The 16,287-nt window shown below is 44.7% G+C and overlaps 1 protein-coding gene across 5 annotated transcripts in view, besides 4 other annotated features; it reads right to left on the reverse strand.

Annotated features, from left to right (window-relative positions):
• ADD2 (adducin 2) overlaps positions 1 to 8,231 on the reverse strand; it is a 111,417-nt gene extending 103,186 nt beyond the window's left edge. For 4 of the 5 annotated variants that reach the window (NM_001617.4, NM_017488.4, NM_001185055.2 and 1 more), the window contains exon 1: positions 7,917 to 8,231. Coding sequence is in view for 1 of the 5 variants with exons in the window: in NM_001185055.2 (NP_001171984.1) it covers positions 7,917 to 7,930 (14 nt within the window). In the remaining 4 variants the exon portion in view is untranslated. Of the gene's footprint in view, positions 1 to 7,634; positions 7,747 to 7,916 lie in introns of those variants that run through there. The other variant, NM_001185054.2, reaches the window with a different exon arrangement.
• Positions 7,366 to 7,931: an enhancer, noted in NCBI's record as "H3K27ac-H3K4me1 hESC enhancer chr2:70994467-70995032 (GRCh37/hg19 assembly coordinates)". NCBI's record gives its function as "activates a minimal SCP1, AML or CMV promoter by ChIP-STARR-seq in naive H9 embryonic stem cells {active_cell/tissue: H9 hESC(naive)}" and the evidence as "EXISTENCE:reporter gene assay evidence [ECO:0000049][PMID:30033119]".
• Positions 7,932 to 8,497: an enhancer, noted in NCBI's record as "H3K27ac-H3K4me1 hESC enhancer chr2:70995033-70995598 (GRCh37/hg19 assembly coordinates)". NCBI's record gives its function as "activates a minimal SCP1, AML or CMV promoter by ChIP-STARR-seq in naive H9 embryonic stem cells {active_cell/tissue: H9 hESC(naive)}" and the evidence as "EXISTENCE:reporter gene assay evidence [ECO:0000049][PMID:30033119]".
• Positions 8,907 to 9,471: an enhancer, noted in NCBI's record as "H3K27ac-H3K4me1 hESC enhancer chr2:70996008-70996572 (GRCh37/hg19 assembly coordinates)". NCBI's record gives its function as "activates a minimal SCP1, AML or CMV promoter by ChIP-STARR-seq in primed H9 embryonic stem cells {active_cell/tissue: H9 hESC(primed)}" and the evidence as "EXISTENCE:reporter gene assay evidence [ECO:0000049][PMID:30033119]".
• Positions 11,554 to 11,603: an enhancer, noted in NCBI's record as "active region_16008". NCBI's record gives its function as "activates an Ori minimal core promoter by ATAC-STARR-seq in GM12878 lymphoblastoid cells {active_cell/tissue: GM12878}" and the evidence as "EXISTENCE:reporter gene assay evidence [ECO:0000049][PMID:35858748]".

The raw sequence follows: 16,287 nt of genomic DNA on the forward strand, positions 1-16,287 counted from the left end.
TCAGCTGAGAGGACACCACTGCTTCTTCCCAGGAAAGCCCCTTGTTGATACTCATGGGCTGGGTGATATTGGCTGGCACCATCTGTACTCTAACTTTTACAGAGTCCTTAAAGAATCTAGGCCCAGTGTTTGTTCTCTTCTCTAAAACTCAAATCGATGTTTTCCTTACTATATTTGTCTTTGGACACTTTGAAGAAAAGAAAGGCAAATATTTAGGTCCATGGTGCCATCTTGAAACCTACACGTGCGTGTTTATAACCCTGAACCTGCAACTCAGATCTCGGGTCCCAGCCATGACACATGCATACGTCTGCCTCTCTGCTGGCCATCCCCACCTCAAACTCGTCTTGTCTAAAACTGACCACTGTCTTACACAAACCACTTCCTTCTTGGCTGTGCTGGATTCCCCAATTTAGAGCACCAAGCAAAGTAGGGCTCCAAATATTCTTGGAATAAATTTGATATATATTTTTTGAAGCATCAAAGTAGTCACCATGGAGATGTTATAACAATGAATAAGATACAAATGGTACAGTTCTAATTTTTTAAAGTTTCAGAGAAACAAGTCTGATGTACTTTGTTTGAGGATGCAAATTTAGATTATAAAATTATAAAAGCAAGCAAGAAAATGGTTACCATAAAAGGAAGGTGAGTTGTTACCTCCAGGGGGAAGCAGGGTGTGGTTCAAGGGTGCACTGGGCTCTGGGAGCTGGCTGTGTCCTGCTTCTTGACCTGCATGGTGGTCACACGGGCATTCACTTTATAATATTTCACTAAACTGCACATTTGTTTCATGTCCTTTCCTATATCTGTGTTATGTTTTATATATTTTAAGGTTTTTTTAAATAAAGTAGTCATTACAAGGGAAAGAAACAAAACTTTTGTGGACTTTCATAGTTATTTTGATAAAGTTGGCCACAACTTATCTTCCATCATACAAAATGCCAGAAGACAAAAGAATAATATTTGGAGTTTTTAGGTAAAAAGATTAAGATGAAGAAGTGTATGCCCCAAAAGGATGATGTTACTGTGAAACAGCAACATAAAGAAGTTCTTAGGCAAGCAAGAACTACCGGAATATACTATCTTTCCTGAAAAAGATTCCAACTAATCAAGGAATAAGTAAAAATGAAGATTGAGCATAGGAAATGGACTGAGTATTGTAACCTATGTAACTCTCAGTCTAGATAGCAGCTGTTAGTATGGTTAGGAAACATAAATGTCAAAAATAATTCTGGAAAGCAAAAGCATGCATTACTTTTTTTTTTTTTTAAAGACAATAATCTGGATCTAAAAGCCAAAATGTTTTTAAGGCAAAAAGTTAGTGGGGGTAGATGGGCAACAAAAAAGAAATTAAAGCTGGGCACAGTGGCTTACACCTGTAATCCCAGCACTTTGGGAGGCCGAGGTGGGTGGATCACCTGAGATCAGGAGTTTGAGACCTGCCTGGCCAACATGGTGAAACCTGGTCTCTACTAAAAATACAAAATTAGCCGGGCGTGGTGGCAGGTGCCTGTAATCCCAGCTACTCAGGAGGCTGAGGCACAAGAATCACTTGAACCCAGGAGACAGAGGTTGCAGTGAGATGAGATTGTACCACTGCACTCCAGCCTGGGTGACAGAAAAAAAAAAAAAAAAAAGGAAGGAAGGAAGGAATTAAAGTATACTAAATCTCTCATTATTTATGAAAGAACAAATAGACACAACTTTTTTTTTTTTTGAGACAGAGTATCGTTCTGTTGCTCAGGCTGGAGTGCAGTGGTGCAATCTCGGCTCACTGCAAGCTCTGCCTCCCGGGTTCATGCCATTCTCCTGCCTCAGCCTCCCGAGTAGCTGGGACTACAGGTGCCCGCCACCACGCCTGGCTAATTTTTTGTATTTTTAGTACAGACGGGGTTTCACCATATTAGCCAGGATGGCCGATCTCCTGACCTCACGATCTACCCGCCCTGGCCTCCTGAAGTGCTGGGATTACAGGCGTGAGCCACCGCGCCTGGCCAACACAACTATATTTTTTAATGTTAATGAAGACTAGTAGAAAAAAATGGGCAGAAAATTTCCCTTTTATCTAAAGAACAAGGGACTCTTACACTACATTTAAGTTAAGAAAGGGGGTGGAAAAATAGCTTGGAATTTTTTTAATGTAAAATAAAATTTTAGAAGATCTGTGACTGTATCACATATAATAAATGTAAATTGAGTCACAATTGGATTAAAAATCCAATTATGATGCTTAAAATAGACAAAAATCAAAATGACGTAAAAGAAGAAAGCTTAAGAAGAAAGAGAATGAGCATCACACCAGGGAAATGGAAACAGAAAGAAGGCAGGACCAGATTTCTTATCACACAGTAAAATTTAAGACAAAAATAAAAATACAATGAGACAAAGCAGGTCTGGAAATATGGAAGATTCACCCCACAATGGAGAGTCAAGGGTCACAACATTTGTGTCACAGAGGATAACCAGTCATCCCCATTTGCCTGGCACTGTCCCAGCTTTAGCACTGAAAATCCCTCATCCCAGAAAACCCATCAGTCCTGGGCAATCAGGGCCCTGAGTAATACAGCATCAAATATAACTATGTAAAAACATATAAAATATACACAAATACATGTTTATATATATAATTACATAATTATATATCAAATAAATATATAAATATAACTATATTATATGGATTTAAAGGGCATGCTAAAGGACATAGCAAAAGGAAAGCGGTCAAAAATTTCATTTTCTTTTTTTTTTTTTTGGAGATGGAGTTTCATTCTTGTTGCCCAGGCTGGAGTGCAATGGTGTGATCTCGGCTCACTGCAACCTCCGCCTCCCGGGTTCAAGCAATTCTCCTGCCACAGCCTCTGGAATAGCTGGGATTAGAGGCGCCCACCACCACACCCAGCTAATTTTTGTATTTTTAGTAGAGACGAGGTTTCACCATGTTGGCCAGGCTGGTCTGGAACTCCTGACCTCAGGTGATCCACCTGCCTCGGCCTCCCAAAGTGCTGGGATTACAGGCGTGAGCCACCACACCCAGCCAAAAATATCATTTGAGACTAACATCTTTTGTATTCTTTGACAGATCACTTAGGTACAAAGAAAAGTTTAAAATAAATTTGAATAACATAATCAATAAACTCATTTAAATCTATACAACTGAAGTTTAGACTCCACAGAGGATACACTTTCTCTTCATCTCTTTCAGTAACATTGGCAAAGCTTTCCTATGTAGTTTATCTTGGAAGACAGACCGGGATGAAATCTTTACTAAAAGCCTGCCATTCCATGAGTGCTCTTCGAGTTTGGAAGATTTGGTGGTGGTTGTCATTGAAGACAGGCAGTTTTTCATATTATTGCTTTAAAATTCTTTCAGGCTAAAATTGTAGCAGCCAATGTATGTGGAGTCAAATATTGTGGCTGCAATCTCTTCTAAAGATTCAAATTTCTATTCCAAGAATCTGTGTGTGTCCCTGTACATAGTTCAAAATGCTTAAACTATATAAACATCCCTTTTGGCAGAAAAAATTTCTCATGACCTCATGGTTGACCTAAGTCACTTTTATTAAAATGTAACTTAAATATGTATACTCATAAATACCAGTTCTAAACACCTATGCTTTACAGCTTTTATATTATTAAAATGCCAAAACAATGTACAAATACAACTATCCACTTTAAAATATCAAAGTAATAAAATTAATTTATTGCAATAGGTAAGTCTTTCACATGTAACAACTCATTCTTATAATATCACCATGCAATCAATGCCATATATTTATTCCTATATTATTATAGGAAATTGAGCAGGAGAGAGGTTGAATAACTTGCCTAAACTCTCACAGCTAGTAAGTAGAAAAATAATTTTTGAAGTCAGACAGTCTGGTGTCACTTAACCATCAGAACAAATTACCCATCTCATTTTCTTTTCTTTTTTTTTTTGAGTTGGAGTCTCGCTCTGTTGCCCAGGCTGGAGTGCAGTGGTGTGATCTCGGCTCACTGCAACCTCTGCCTCCAGGATTCAAGTGATTCTCCTGCCTCAGCCTCCCGAGTAGCTGAGATTACAGTTGCCCACCACCATGCTCAGCTAATTTTTGTATTTTTAGTAGAGATGGGGTTTCACTATGTTGGTCATGCTGGTCTCGAACTCCTGACCTCAGGTGATCCACCTGCCTCGGCCTCCCAAAGTGCTGGAATTACAGGCGTGAGCCACCGCGCCCGGCCCCATCTCATTTTCTTAGATGTAAGGTACCTATTGGAGAGTTACTAAATATGCATTAAATGAAGATCTAATTCAAATATTGTTAAAATCCACAACAGCAACTTTTCTGTTGTGTTTTTACTACATCTGCTGCTAATAAATTGCTGCAAACTTGATCCATACAAAGATGAACTGGCGTGAGATCTTCAATCCCTGCCAATAGAGCAGTGGTCGCCAGGAGCTGTTCTTTTGGAGTTGGCAAGTTGTGTGTGTCCTGTGTAGACTCACTCTCTCCACTATTCCAACTCCCCTTCCCTTCACCCAGGCTGTGGCTGGAGCCACCAGGCCTGCCCATGGCTCAAATGGAAAGATACAAAGGCAAACGCAGACTCCAGCATCAGTTTCAGCCTTGCCATCAAGATGATCCAGAACACATTTTTACTGCTAATTATTTATGATTATCACTGGAATAGGCCAGGCATAGTGGCTCATGCCTGTAGTCACAGCTACTCAGGAGGGAGAGGTGGGAGGATCGCTTGAGCCCAGGAGGTCCCGGCTACAGGGAACTATGATCATGCCACTGCATTCCAGCCTGGGTAACAGAGCAAGATCCCTACTCAAACAGTCTGGGTGACAGAGCAAGATTCCGCAAAAAAGATTATCACTGGAATAAAACCACTAATGTCAGAGAATACACAGATCTTTCAAAATACGTATATCTTCAGAACCCCAGGGGGCTGAGAGACCTGTGGCATGATATCATTAGCTCATGCTGAGGGCCATTGTGAAAAACAACCCTATGAAACTTGTCCTTGTGTCTGATGAGGAGGTGATCGAAGGCATCATTTCAAACACTATGTCACATTAGGAAAAAGTTCCTTTCTGGTCTCGGAATCAAGAACTGTTGGTTGGGCAAAGTGGCTCACACTTGTAATCCCAGCACTCTGGTAGGCAGAGGCAGGTGGATCGCTTGAGGCCAAGGATTTGAGACCAGCCTGGCCAACATGGCGAAACCCCGTCTCTACTAAAAATGCAAAAATTAGCCGGGCGTGGTGACACGCACCTGTAGTCCCAGCTATTCGGGAGGCTGAGGCGTGAGAATCACTTGAAGCCAGGAGGTGGAGGTTGCAGTGAGCCGAGATCATGCCACTGCGCTCCAGCCTGGGCAACAGAATGAGATTGTGTCTCAAAAAAATATAAAACATAAAAAATAAAAAAGAATTGTTGTGTTTTTATGTTCTGGCCATATAATGTTTTGTGTTTTGTGTTTTTCCCACATAGCTGTTATCACAATTTGTAATTATATATTCATTTGAGAGATTTCTTGATGAGTGTCCATTTCTTGCATTTGTCTTTAAGCGCCCATTAGACACAGACCACGTCTATCTGCTTTATCCCTTTGTTCCCAGTACGTCTTACAGAACCTGGCACGTAGTAAGTCCTCACTGAATGTTTGTTGAGTGAAGAAGTGTGTGAATGAGTTTAACAAATAAATAAAACATATAAGCCATGGGTTCGTCAATTTCTTTTTTGCTTATGCTGCAAGAAAGTTTAGAGCTGTTTTTGTTTCCTGCCCGTAGCCATTGTAGAAGGTCTCATGCTCATGTTTTTGTATCAGCCTCACGCTTAAGACCATTTTATGACTCCACCCTTAGTGTCCTTTTTTCTTTCCCAACTACTTCCAAGTTAGGCTGCCTTGCCATATTTATGAATCCCTGTAAACTATCTTAAATCCCTTGTGGAAGAGGTGGTAATAAATAAATATATCTACTAGTCTTTTTTATATATATTTAAAATCTTAACACTAAACCCACTGCCAGCAAACACATTTGCTCAACTGTTAACCTTAAGAATAGCTGAGATTTGCTAATTCCAACACTATACTAATATTTAAAACAAATTCAATCCAAGCCTAGAAACCACAGCATATCATGTCAGGCATTGTTGTACATTGTGTATATGACAAGCATATTTCTAATAAGGCTAGGCAATTTGGTGGACAAGAAAGAACATAGGGCTTACTACAAAATTCTTATGGATTTTGGATCAAAGAATAATTTATCTTTAGTGGTTTTTCAAAATGTGTTGACATCATACCAATAATGAAAACTTTGCTTTTACTTGTGCCCTATGCAGGGAGGAGTAGGGAAGAAAGGCTGGGCAAGATCCTGATCTATAGGAGAAAAGTCTCTACAGAGAAAAGTTTGATCACATTACACAATTAAAGTAGAACCTTATAAAGTAAAAATATTAAATGGTCTAAACCCCCCTTTTAAGTCTCTAACATATATTATTCATATGCTAATGGAGATATTATTTGCAAGTCTGAAACGTCATAGTTCTCTTCTTTGGTCAGATTCATTTAAAACACTTTTACTTCAAATGCTGACTTGCTATTTTTCTCTTAAAACGGAACATAATTTTCTAATGCCATTAATGAGAACACCCCTCACTGCACAAGTTAAACATCTCAGGAATCCCAGCTAGATCCACAAACTAGACATGAAAGCAGTTGCTTGCACCCTCTCCAATCCCTTTGCTTCTGCCAGGATGCCAGACCAACCACTCCTTTTGGGTTACTCGGGAAGCACGAAATGTGCATTTAGGAAACTGAGATTTGATTTCTATTATCGATAAAGCTCATCTGAGTCAGTTGAATCTTAGACGACAAACAGCAAGAGGGAAGAGTGGGTGTAAGGAAACAGATGGGTATTAATCATGTGTCAGAGATAAATGACAGTTTTTTAAAGAATTTGATAGGGTGTGGGCTGGAGCTTGCTTTTTTATTTTCTATTTCTATTTCCTATTTTCTATTTTTAGTTTTGGGCAAGAGATGGAGATTAGGGGTGAGAAAAGGAAGGAAGAGAAAAGGCAAGACAATAGGCCAGACCCGAGAGCCTGATCTGCATCCTAAAGCAGTCTGCCCCTCCCTCCCTTCCCCCCAACACCAGGTAGGCTGTGGTGTGATTTAAAAATAAGCAGACACCGACTCCCGCCTCCGGGACCGGGGATGGCCTCCGCCCCGGCTGCAGAAAGGGAGGGGAGGCAGGGAGAGGAGAGGGAAGATGGAAGAAACAGACTGGCAAGACCCCCTCGGGTACAGTGGGATTTTTCCCTCCAAAGTGGTGGAGCCGCATAAAATCAAAACCCACGAGGCCCGCTCACGTGCCGGTTGCCCCGATCTCAATGTAGGCGGCTGCCGACGCCGCACCTGCTCGGCCGGCCACTGCGGCTGAGCGCCGCGCAGCCAGCGATCGCGAGGCCCCGGGGGACGCGCCCAGCCCCGCCAAGCCCGCCTCGCACCGCTACCCCGGAGGGCGGCGGCCGAGCGGGAAGGAAAGAGAGGGGAGGGGAGGGAGGGGAGGGGAGGAGCGGCCCCGCCCGGCTAGGCGAGGCGAGGCTTGCCGCCCCTCCATTCGGACCCAAAAGAAAGCCCCACCTGTCAGGCGTTACGCTCCGGGCGAGGGTCCCACCATCCCCAAGCAGGGGCCAGTGCTTGCAGCCCCGATTTCCTAAGAGCCTCGGATGCTACATCATCACCAGAAACCTTTAGGCGCAAAACACACCGCTGCCGGCCAGGGCTGCAGCACCGACGCGCTCGGCAACAGACGCGCCCCACCTGGGCCAAGCGGCTCCCGCCCGGCCGAGGGATGCCAGGGTCTCCGCGCCAGGAGACCAGCGACCCCAGGCAGCCCACCAGGCCCGCTCCCCAGACCCTTACCTCCTGCGCGGCATCTTAGCTATCTCCGGTCGGCCACTGCGGGTTGGTTTTGTTATTTTATGGGTTTGGGGGGTGGGGTGCGCTTAAAAAATCCACCCAGCTAATCTGCAGGGCAGCGTTTTCTGCCCATGCTGCAGCCCGCGCTCGTCAGAGCTGCTGGGAGATCCCCCAGCAGTGCAGCGGCTCCGCGGCGGCGGGGATGACTGGCCACCGACGCCGCAGTTCCTTGACAAAAGGCTCGGGTTCCCGCTAGTCCCTCACAGCCCTGCCGTCAGAATTAAAGCCATTTCCCGCACGAGGCTGGGAGGAAATGAGAGCTCTCCTGGCCCTGCGCGCTGACAAAAGGCCGCTGCGCGGTGCCCACAGCGCCCCCTCCAGCAGGCCGCGCCGGCCGCCCGAGGGCCGCGGTGCTGCAGTGCCCCCGCCCGCAGCGCCCCCCACCGCCCCGCAGCGGCCTCGCCCCGCAGCACCCCCACTACCGCCCCGCAGCGCCCCCCTCCTCCCCGCAGCGCCCCCGCCCGCGCCGCCGCAGACCCCCCTAGCCAGGCTTCCAGCCCCCTTCCACCCCCGCCCCGCACCACTCACTACCCGGGATGGCCAGAGCTAAGCAGGGGAGTCTGTTACTAGGGAGAAAATCTGAAACAGAGCTCCCTTGGGGGAATGTATTCTCCCTGGAAGGAAGAAAGCAAAAGTCTTAGACTTGGAATATTTCTTTTCGTCTGGAAAGGACAGCTAGCCTTCGGAAGATAATTCTATTAGTGATTTTAATAGCAATTGTTTGACTGAATTCCAAACCAAAATTCTCCCTGTCCTGATTCTCACTCCTTTTCAACCAGGACAACATTTTTGTTGTGGCCCTGCCCTTGGGGGCTGTGGACCCAACGCTCTCCAACTCTCACTACATTCTCCTCTCACTCCTTTCCTTCCTCAGGTCTCCCGCCCCAGAAGGAACAGGTGTGTAGTGAGTGGGGAACTGGATAGGGAACCAGAATACTTCGGTTGCCGTCTCAGAGCTGCTCTTAACTAGCTGTGAGACCTTAATCAACCCACTTAACCTCTCTGGGCCTCGTTGTCTTCCTCTGTAAAATGACAGTGTACCTAAGGCACCTCCCATTTCCAATACTTTCAAGGCCTGGCCCTCAGAGAGTAGGGGTGTTAAGAGATAGCTCTGGACTTTTCACCCCCATAATCTCCACCAGTCCCCAAAACTCCCCTCAATCAACATCCTCTCCAAGGGCTTTTGAAAATGTGCTTGTGAAAATGTACAGCTTCCAGAAAAGCCTCTGGCCACTGATCTGAAACCTGATCATGGCCCCTCTGCCCTTCCAGGTTCTGGGGCACCACAGCCCTCAGACACCCCCACAAAAGTCACTGGCCCCCACCACAGTGCTGCTGTGGAACCAGAATCTCTGGAGGTAGGCTCAGGATTGGTAATTTTAACAAGCAGCCCTAGTGATTCCTTTGCACACTAACACTTTAGAAACACCACTCTGAGAGCTACTACTGATTTAGAAAAGAAAATGCTAACGACAACCCTAGATGCCAGGATAAACTTGTCTTTCTGCTTCAGCCCCCCTTCCAAGAAACATACATGCATACCTGGTCCCTGCACCCTCCTTCCACACTCAGAGCTTCTCACTCATTCTCATTCAGAATCACCGAGTCCACAAGACTTCTCCCCATTCTCCTGTCAAAACCTGCTAGAAGAATTACAACAGGCTCAGCCACACAAGATGAAACCCCTTCCCCTCCCCACCCCAGGACCTAGGTCTGTCTGGTCAAAGAAGCCAGGACGTGTTATGTTTATTGAGTCATTCCTGGCAGCCATAGCTCTTTTGGTGCTAATGGGTGATGAGATCTGAGAAACAGGGAACCCCTTCTCCAGAGCTCAGAAGTCACAGGTAAGGTGGGCTCTATATCTTAATAGAACCCCCAAAAAGAATGGAGAATTTTTGTTAGAAATAGCAGGTTTCATAAGTCACCCCAGTCATTTCCATCCCCCAAAATTTCTCTTCCTAGTGTGTTATTTTGTTTTCTCACATGAATCCTAGCAAACCCTTGTTGGTTCCTGGCACTGTTCTGAGAGCTTTACATGCATTTTCACATAATCCTTGCAAAAACTCTGTGAGGGTGGTACTATTATCATCCCCATTTTATAGATGAAGAGACTGAGGCACAGGGATGTTAAGTCGCTTGCCCTAGGTCACACAGCTAGTGGGTGGCTGAGCAATGAATCAAACTCAAGTGCTGTGGCTCCAGAGTTTGTGGGCCCTAACCACTACACTGCATGGCCTCCCAGAGGGGACAATAAACTTTTTTTTTTTCTTTTGAGACAGAGTCTCATGCTGCCCCCCAGGCTGGAGTGCAGTGGCATGATCTCAGCTCACTGCAACTTCCTCTCCCCAGGTTTAAGCGATTCTCCTGCCTCAGCCTCCCGAGTAGCCGGGATTACAGGCACGCACCACCACACCCAGCTAATTTTTGTATTTTTAGTAGATATGGGTTTTCACCATGTTGGCCAGGCTGGTCTGGAACTCCTGACCTCAGGTGATCTGCCCGTCTCAGCCTCCCAAAGTGCTGGGATTACAGGCGTGAGCCACCACGCCTGGCCAAAAATAAACTTTTTAAAGCAGAGCTGGTACAAGACACTGAAAGGCTGATAAGACTAATACATTCTCCTTCCCCCCGGCAAAAAAAAAAATGATTCTGCTCCCCTAGTCATCACAGGAGATACATATATATATTTATGTTTATATATGTATATATTATATATATTACATATACACAATATATATTATATATATTACATATATTTTTATATATATATGTCCGGCCTCTCCCAGGGTCTATCTGATACTGCATACTGAGAAGGTGGTGCCATCCTGGGACTTTAGGAATTGTCCAAATGTCAGAGAGGAAATAAGACTTCATTAATTCCCATATTCATAGCCTATATGAAATTTTAATTGAAGTTCCAGAAATTCTCAATTTCAAATTCACTTCAAAATCCAGGAAAAGGAACCACAACTGTAGTTGGCTCCAACTGTCAATGGGAGACCAGGAGACTTCAGAGCTCCCACTGCAACAAGCCCAAGATGCCTGGCCCTTAACTGGGGCCAGAAAAACACAAGAGACCCCCATGTCAGACCGGGGAAAAATCACAGCTGGCTAACCCTCCATGGCCAGATAGTTTAAAATTAGACTCTCTGACTGATTTGCAGTAAAATTTCTCATCTTCCAAGTCTTCTGACAAAAATGTTTCTGGCCAAGAATAACTAGTAGAGAGAGAAGCTGGCAGTGCAACAGTGAGCCCCATCTCCTGGTATCCATTGCCCTGTGTATTACCCTCTCCTTAGGTGCTGGCACGACTGTGGCTCACTTCTAACCGACAGGATAAGGCAAAGATAATGGGATGTTCACTTCCGTGATTACATTACATAAGATTCTTTGTCTTGCTAGCAGACTGTCTCAGTTGGCGTCTTGACCTGCATGCTTTCATTAGTAGCCATGTTTGGAAGATCTACATGGCAAGGAACTGAGGGTGACATCCAGCTAATAGCCAGCTGGAAACTGAGAACTTCAGTCCAAAAAAGTCCTAGAGGAAATGAATCCCACTAACCATCACATAAGTTTAGAGGCTGATCCTCCCCCAGTTAAGCCTTCCACTGAGAACCCAGCCCTGGCTGACACCTTGATTTCTGCCTTGTGAGAGACACTGAAGCAGAGGACTCAGTTAAGTCATACCGAGACTCAACTCCTGGCCACAGAAACCATGAGATAATAAATGTGTTGTTTTAAGTTGCTTAGTTTGCATTAATTTGTTACACAGCAATAGATAACTAATACGGGGGCTTAGCACTCTATAGGCCCAGGCATGCTTATCAATGGCCTTTTCTAGGGCATGCTGGAAATGCTGGAGAAATCAACACCCCTGGGATCAGCCCTCAACCAATGACCATTAGGAGTTTGTGGATAAACAGCCTGGCTCCCTCATCCCTGAGAGTTGGGAGAATACCTCAGTGTTCTCCATTGTCTCCCAGAGAGCCTCAGCAGGATTGAGCCCCAGCTGCCCACAGCAGTAACCTACCTGCTCACTCACGCATCTTTTATGGGCTTTTCTTCCCTATATCACTTTCCCACTCCCTTACAGGTGCCTCCCGGGCTTGCTTCCCAACTTACACTCAAATCGTAATCTACATTTAGGGGAACCCACTTTAAGATGGGGCAAGGGAAGGAAGACAGTGCTTTCAAAGGAAGACCACTGATAAGTTGTAAGTCTAGATGTTCTGAAGATACCCAATAAATGAAAGTTCACCTCTATGGCTGATGCTGCTCTGGAAACAGAAGTGAATTGGGAGTCCAGGGCCTAGGGCTCCAATCTCAGTCCCAGGGAATGTGTGGACTTAGGAAAGACCCTGACCCCTTATTCTCCCTTACCCAGCTATAAAGTGAGGGTGACAGCACTTGCTCTCTGTTATGGGCTGAATCTCATCCCCCTCAAATTTATGTGTTGAAGTCCTAGCCCCCAGTGCTCCACAATGTGACTGTATTTGGAGCTAAATCCTTTAAAAAAGTAATTAAGGTAAAATGATGTCATATATGTGGGCCTTAATCCAGTATGACTGAGGTCCTTATAAGAAATTTGGACACAAACTGGCATAAAGGGATGACCATATGAGGACACAGCAAGAAGGTGGCCATCTACATACACTCCAAGAAGAAATCATACCTGCCCACACTTTGATCTCAGACTTTGAGCCTCTAGAATGGTAAGACCACACATTTCTGTGGTTTACCATTACCATCTGGGATGCTTTGTTATGGGAGCCCCAGAAAACTACTACATCCTCCACCTGGCCAAGGTTGTCATGTAGACAAAATGGGACGCCAAGTGAAAGCACTTATGGTCTTATTACCTATTGAGACAGCCAGACAGTGTAACCCCAGCCACACCAGGAAATAACCAGAGTGGTTCCAGAGACAAGAGAGCCCCAGACTCCAGTTCCCACCCTCATGTTAGGTCCAGACCTGGAGAGCTGTGGATAGAGCTCTTCATGTTGAGCCCTGATAACATGTAAGTCCCTCTGGGGGAGGCCTTCCTGTACCCGATGTTAAGTGCACTAGTTCCTCCTACCAGCCCACAAGAATTTTCTTTTATGATCACTGCTTGCCCAGCAGGATTTATTATTCTGCAGTTCTTATTCCTAGAAGGTGCTAAAGCTTTCAGAGTCTGTCTTGAAACTTGGAGCTGATGCCTCAGATAGACCCAGGGATTTGTTCCTGGTACCATGACTCTCTTACTACCCAATGCCCCTCAGGCAGCTAGACCCAGCAGATGGCTCTCATTCTGATTCTGAGGAATTCCGCTTAGGGTGTGTACAACTCACATCAGTAAGGGCTTCCTCATCCTTACCCCGAGACCCAGTTCCATTACAATGCCACATTCAAAAGAAATAATCCCACTGCCAATGCCTTGAAAAGTTCTGCAAGTCATTGAATAGACGGAAAGGAGAGGGAGCAGGGGAAATTCTCTCTCGTCCTCTTTGTTCAATGTAGTCCCACACCAGTGGAAGTTATCCCAGGAATTCCTAACCCTTCTCCTACCTTCCAGAGCTTTTCTTCTGTAGGTAGCTCTCTTTCCTCTCTAATAAAGATGGTGATATGGTTTGGCTGTGTCCCCACCCAAATCTCATCCTGAATTGTAGCTCCCATAATTCCCACTTGTGGGAGAGACCCAGTGGGAGATAACTGAATCATGGGAGTGGTTTCTCCAATACTGTTCTCATGGTAGTGAATAAGTCCCATGAGATCTGATGGTTTTGTAAGGGGTTTCCCCTTTTGCTCGGTTCTCATTCTTTCTTTCCTGCCACCATGTAAAACGTCCCTTTGCTCTTCCTCCATCTTCCACCAGGACTGTGAGGCCTCCCAGGCCATGTGGAACTGTGAGTCCATTAAACCTCTTTTCCTTTATAAATTACCCAGTCTTGGGTATGTCTTTATTAGCAGCATGAGAACAAACTAATACAGCTAGTCTCAACTTCTGTTCTCCTTCCTTCTCTTCATTTACACCATTCCCCCTGATGAAGACAAGGGACCCAAAGCCCAGTAGACAAGCAAACAAAGCTACTCTTTAAGGTGGGGGAAGGAAAAAGGCTATGATCAAACATCCCAGTTATCTATGAGGGTATTTCTGGATGAGATTAACATTTGACTCAGCAGACCAAGTAAGGCAGATTGTCCTCCTAGTGTGGGTGGCTTCTGGACTCCAACTTAAACCATTGGCTCTCCTGGTTTTCAGACCTATGAACTCAAGCTGCAACCATCCTATTGGCTCTCCTGAATCTCCAACTTGCTCACTGCAGATCTTGGTACTTCTCAGCTTCCATAAAGGCATTAGCCAATTTCTTGCAATAAATACATAATCTTCTGTTGGTTCTTTTTCTCTTGAGACCACCAATACAGATTTTGGTACCAAGAGTGGGATGTTGCTGTAAGAAATACCTAACAATCTAGAAGTGGCTTTGGAACTGGGTAATTGATAGAAAATGGAAGAGTTTTAAGATTTATGCTAGAAAAAGCCTAGATTGCCATAAAGGGACTGTTGGTAGAAATATGGATGTTAAAGATATTTCTGGTAAGCATTCAGAAAGAAAAGAGGAGAGCTGGAGAGAAGCATTCATCTTCTCAGAGAATAATCAGAAACAGAATGTTGGTAGAAATAAGGCTGAAGCATGAGAATTGCCTGAACCTGGGAGGCGGAGGTTACAGTGCACTGAGATTGTGCCATTGCACTCCAGCCTGGGTGACAGAGTGAAGCTCCATCTCCAAAAAAAAAAAAAAAAAAAAGTGATCCTGCTATAAAGTGGCAAACAATCTGGCTGAATAGCATTCTAGTGCTTTTGGGAAGGTAGAACTTGCAAGTGATAAAATTAAATATTTAGCAGAAGCGATTTCTAAACAAAGTATTAAAGGTGCAGTTTGGGTCCTCCTTACTGCTTATAGTAAAATTCGGGAAACATGAGATAAACTGAAGAAATCAAAAGCAAAAAGGAATCAGAGGCTGGGTGTGGTGGATCACGTCTGCAATCCTAGCACTTTGAGAGGTTGAGGTGGGTGGATCACTTGAGGCCAGAAGTTCAAGACCAGCCTGGCGGACATGATGAGACCCTATCTGTACTAAAAACACAAAAATTAGCTGGGCATGGTGGTGCATACCTGTAATTCCAGCTACTCAAGAGGCCGAGGCATTAGAATCGCTTGAACCCAGGAGGTGGAGGTTGCAGAGAGCCAAGACTGTGCCACTGCACTCCAACCTGGGTGATAGAGACTCTGTCTTAAAAAGAAAAAAAAAAAAAAAGGAACCAGAACTTGGGGACTTGGAAAATTTCTTAACCTATCCATATTGCAAAAATTAAGAAAGCTTACTCTGAAGAGATCACTAAGGGTGTGGCTGAGCAACCATTTGATAACAGATCATGAGTGTGACTCATATACTTAATTAGCCATCTCAGCTGAAGCCAGGAATACCGACGGGATTATACCAGAAAGACCCTGATAGCTGGAAAGAAAGGGGACAGAGAAAATGGGAAAGAATGAAGGTAAGCTGTCAGCCTTCTCAGATTCTATAGGACTAGACCATATCACTATTTGGCTACAAACATGCACTATTTAAGCAAAGGAAAGAAATGACCCCAAAGGCAACTCAGAGATCAGGGTGGCCACTCAGTGTGTGTGTGTATGTTTTGGAGGAGGGGGCACAGGCAGGAGAAGAGCTGAGTTCCTCCTCAGTTTCCGAGGGAAGGTCACCCTGCCAAGCCACAAGGATGACACTGCATCAAAGCAAAGAGGATTTATTCTTGAGGCTTAAGATATAATGGAATTTGCCTCAATAGGTTTTGGACTTGCTTGGGACCCATTAACACTTTGTTTCCTATTTTTCCTTTTTGGAATAGGAATGTCAATCCTACACCTGTCTCACCATTGTGCTTGGGACGCACATAACTTGTCTGGTTTCAGAGGTTCACAGCTGGAGAAAGATAGGAATCATAGCTCAAGTCTCACCCATACCTGATTTAGAAGATATTTAAATGAGACTTTGTACTTTAAAGTGAGAATGAGTTTAGATTCTGGGGGCTGCTGGGGTGGAATGCATATATTTTGCATGTGATAAAATGAATTTGGGGGAAGGGCTAGGGACAGAATGCTATGAACAGCATATGTTCACCCAAAATTCATATATTGAGAGCCTAACCCCCAATAAGGCTGTATTTGGAGACAGGGTCTCTAGGAGATATTAAGATTACATGAAGTCATCAGGATGGAGCCCTAATCCAATAGGATTGGTGCCCTTATAAGAAGAAGGGAAACCAAA

This window comes from Homo sapiens, chromosome 2 (assembly GCF_000001405.40).
Source record: "Homo sapiens chromosome 2, GRCh38.p14 Primary Assembly".
Taxonomy (NCBI): domain Eukaryota; kingdom Metazoa; phylum Chordata; class Mammalia; order Primates; family Hominidae; genus Homo; species Homo sapiens.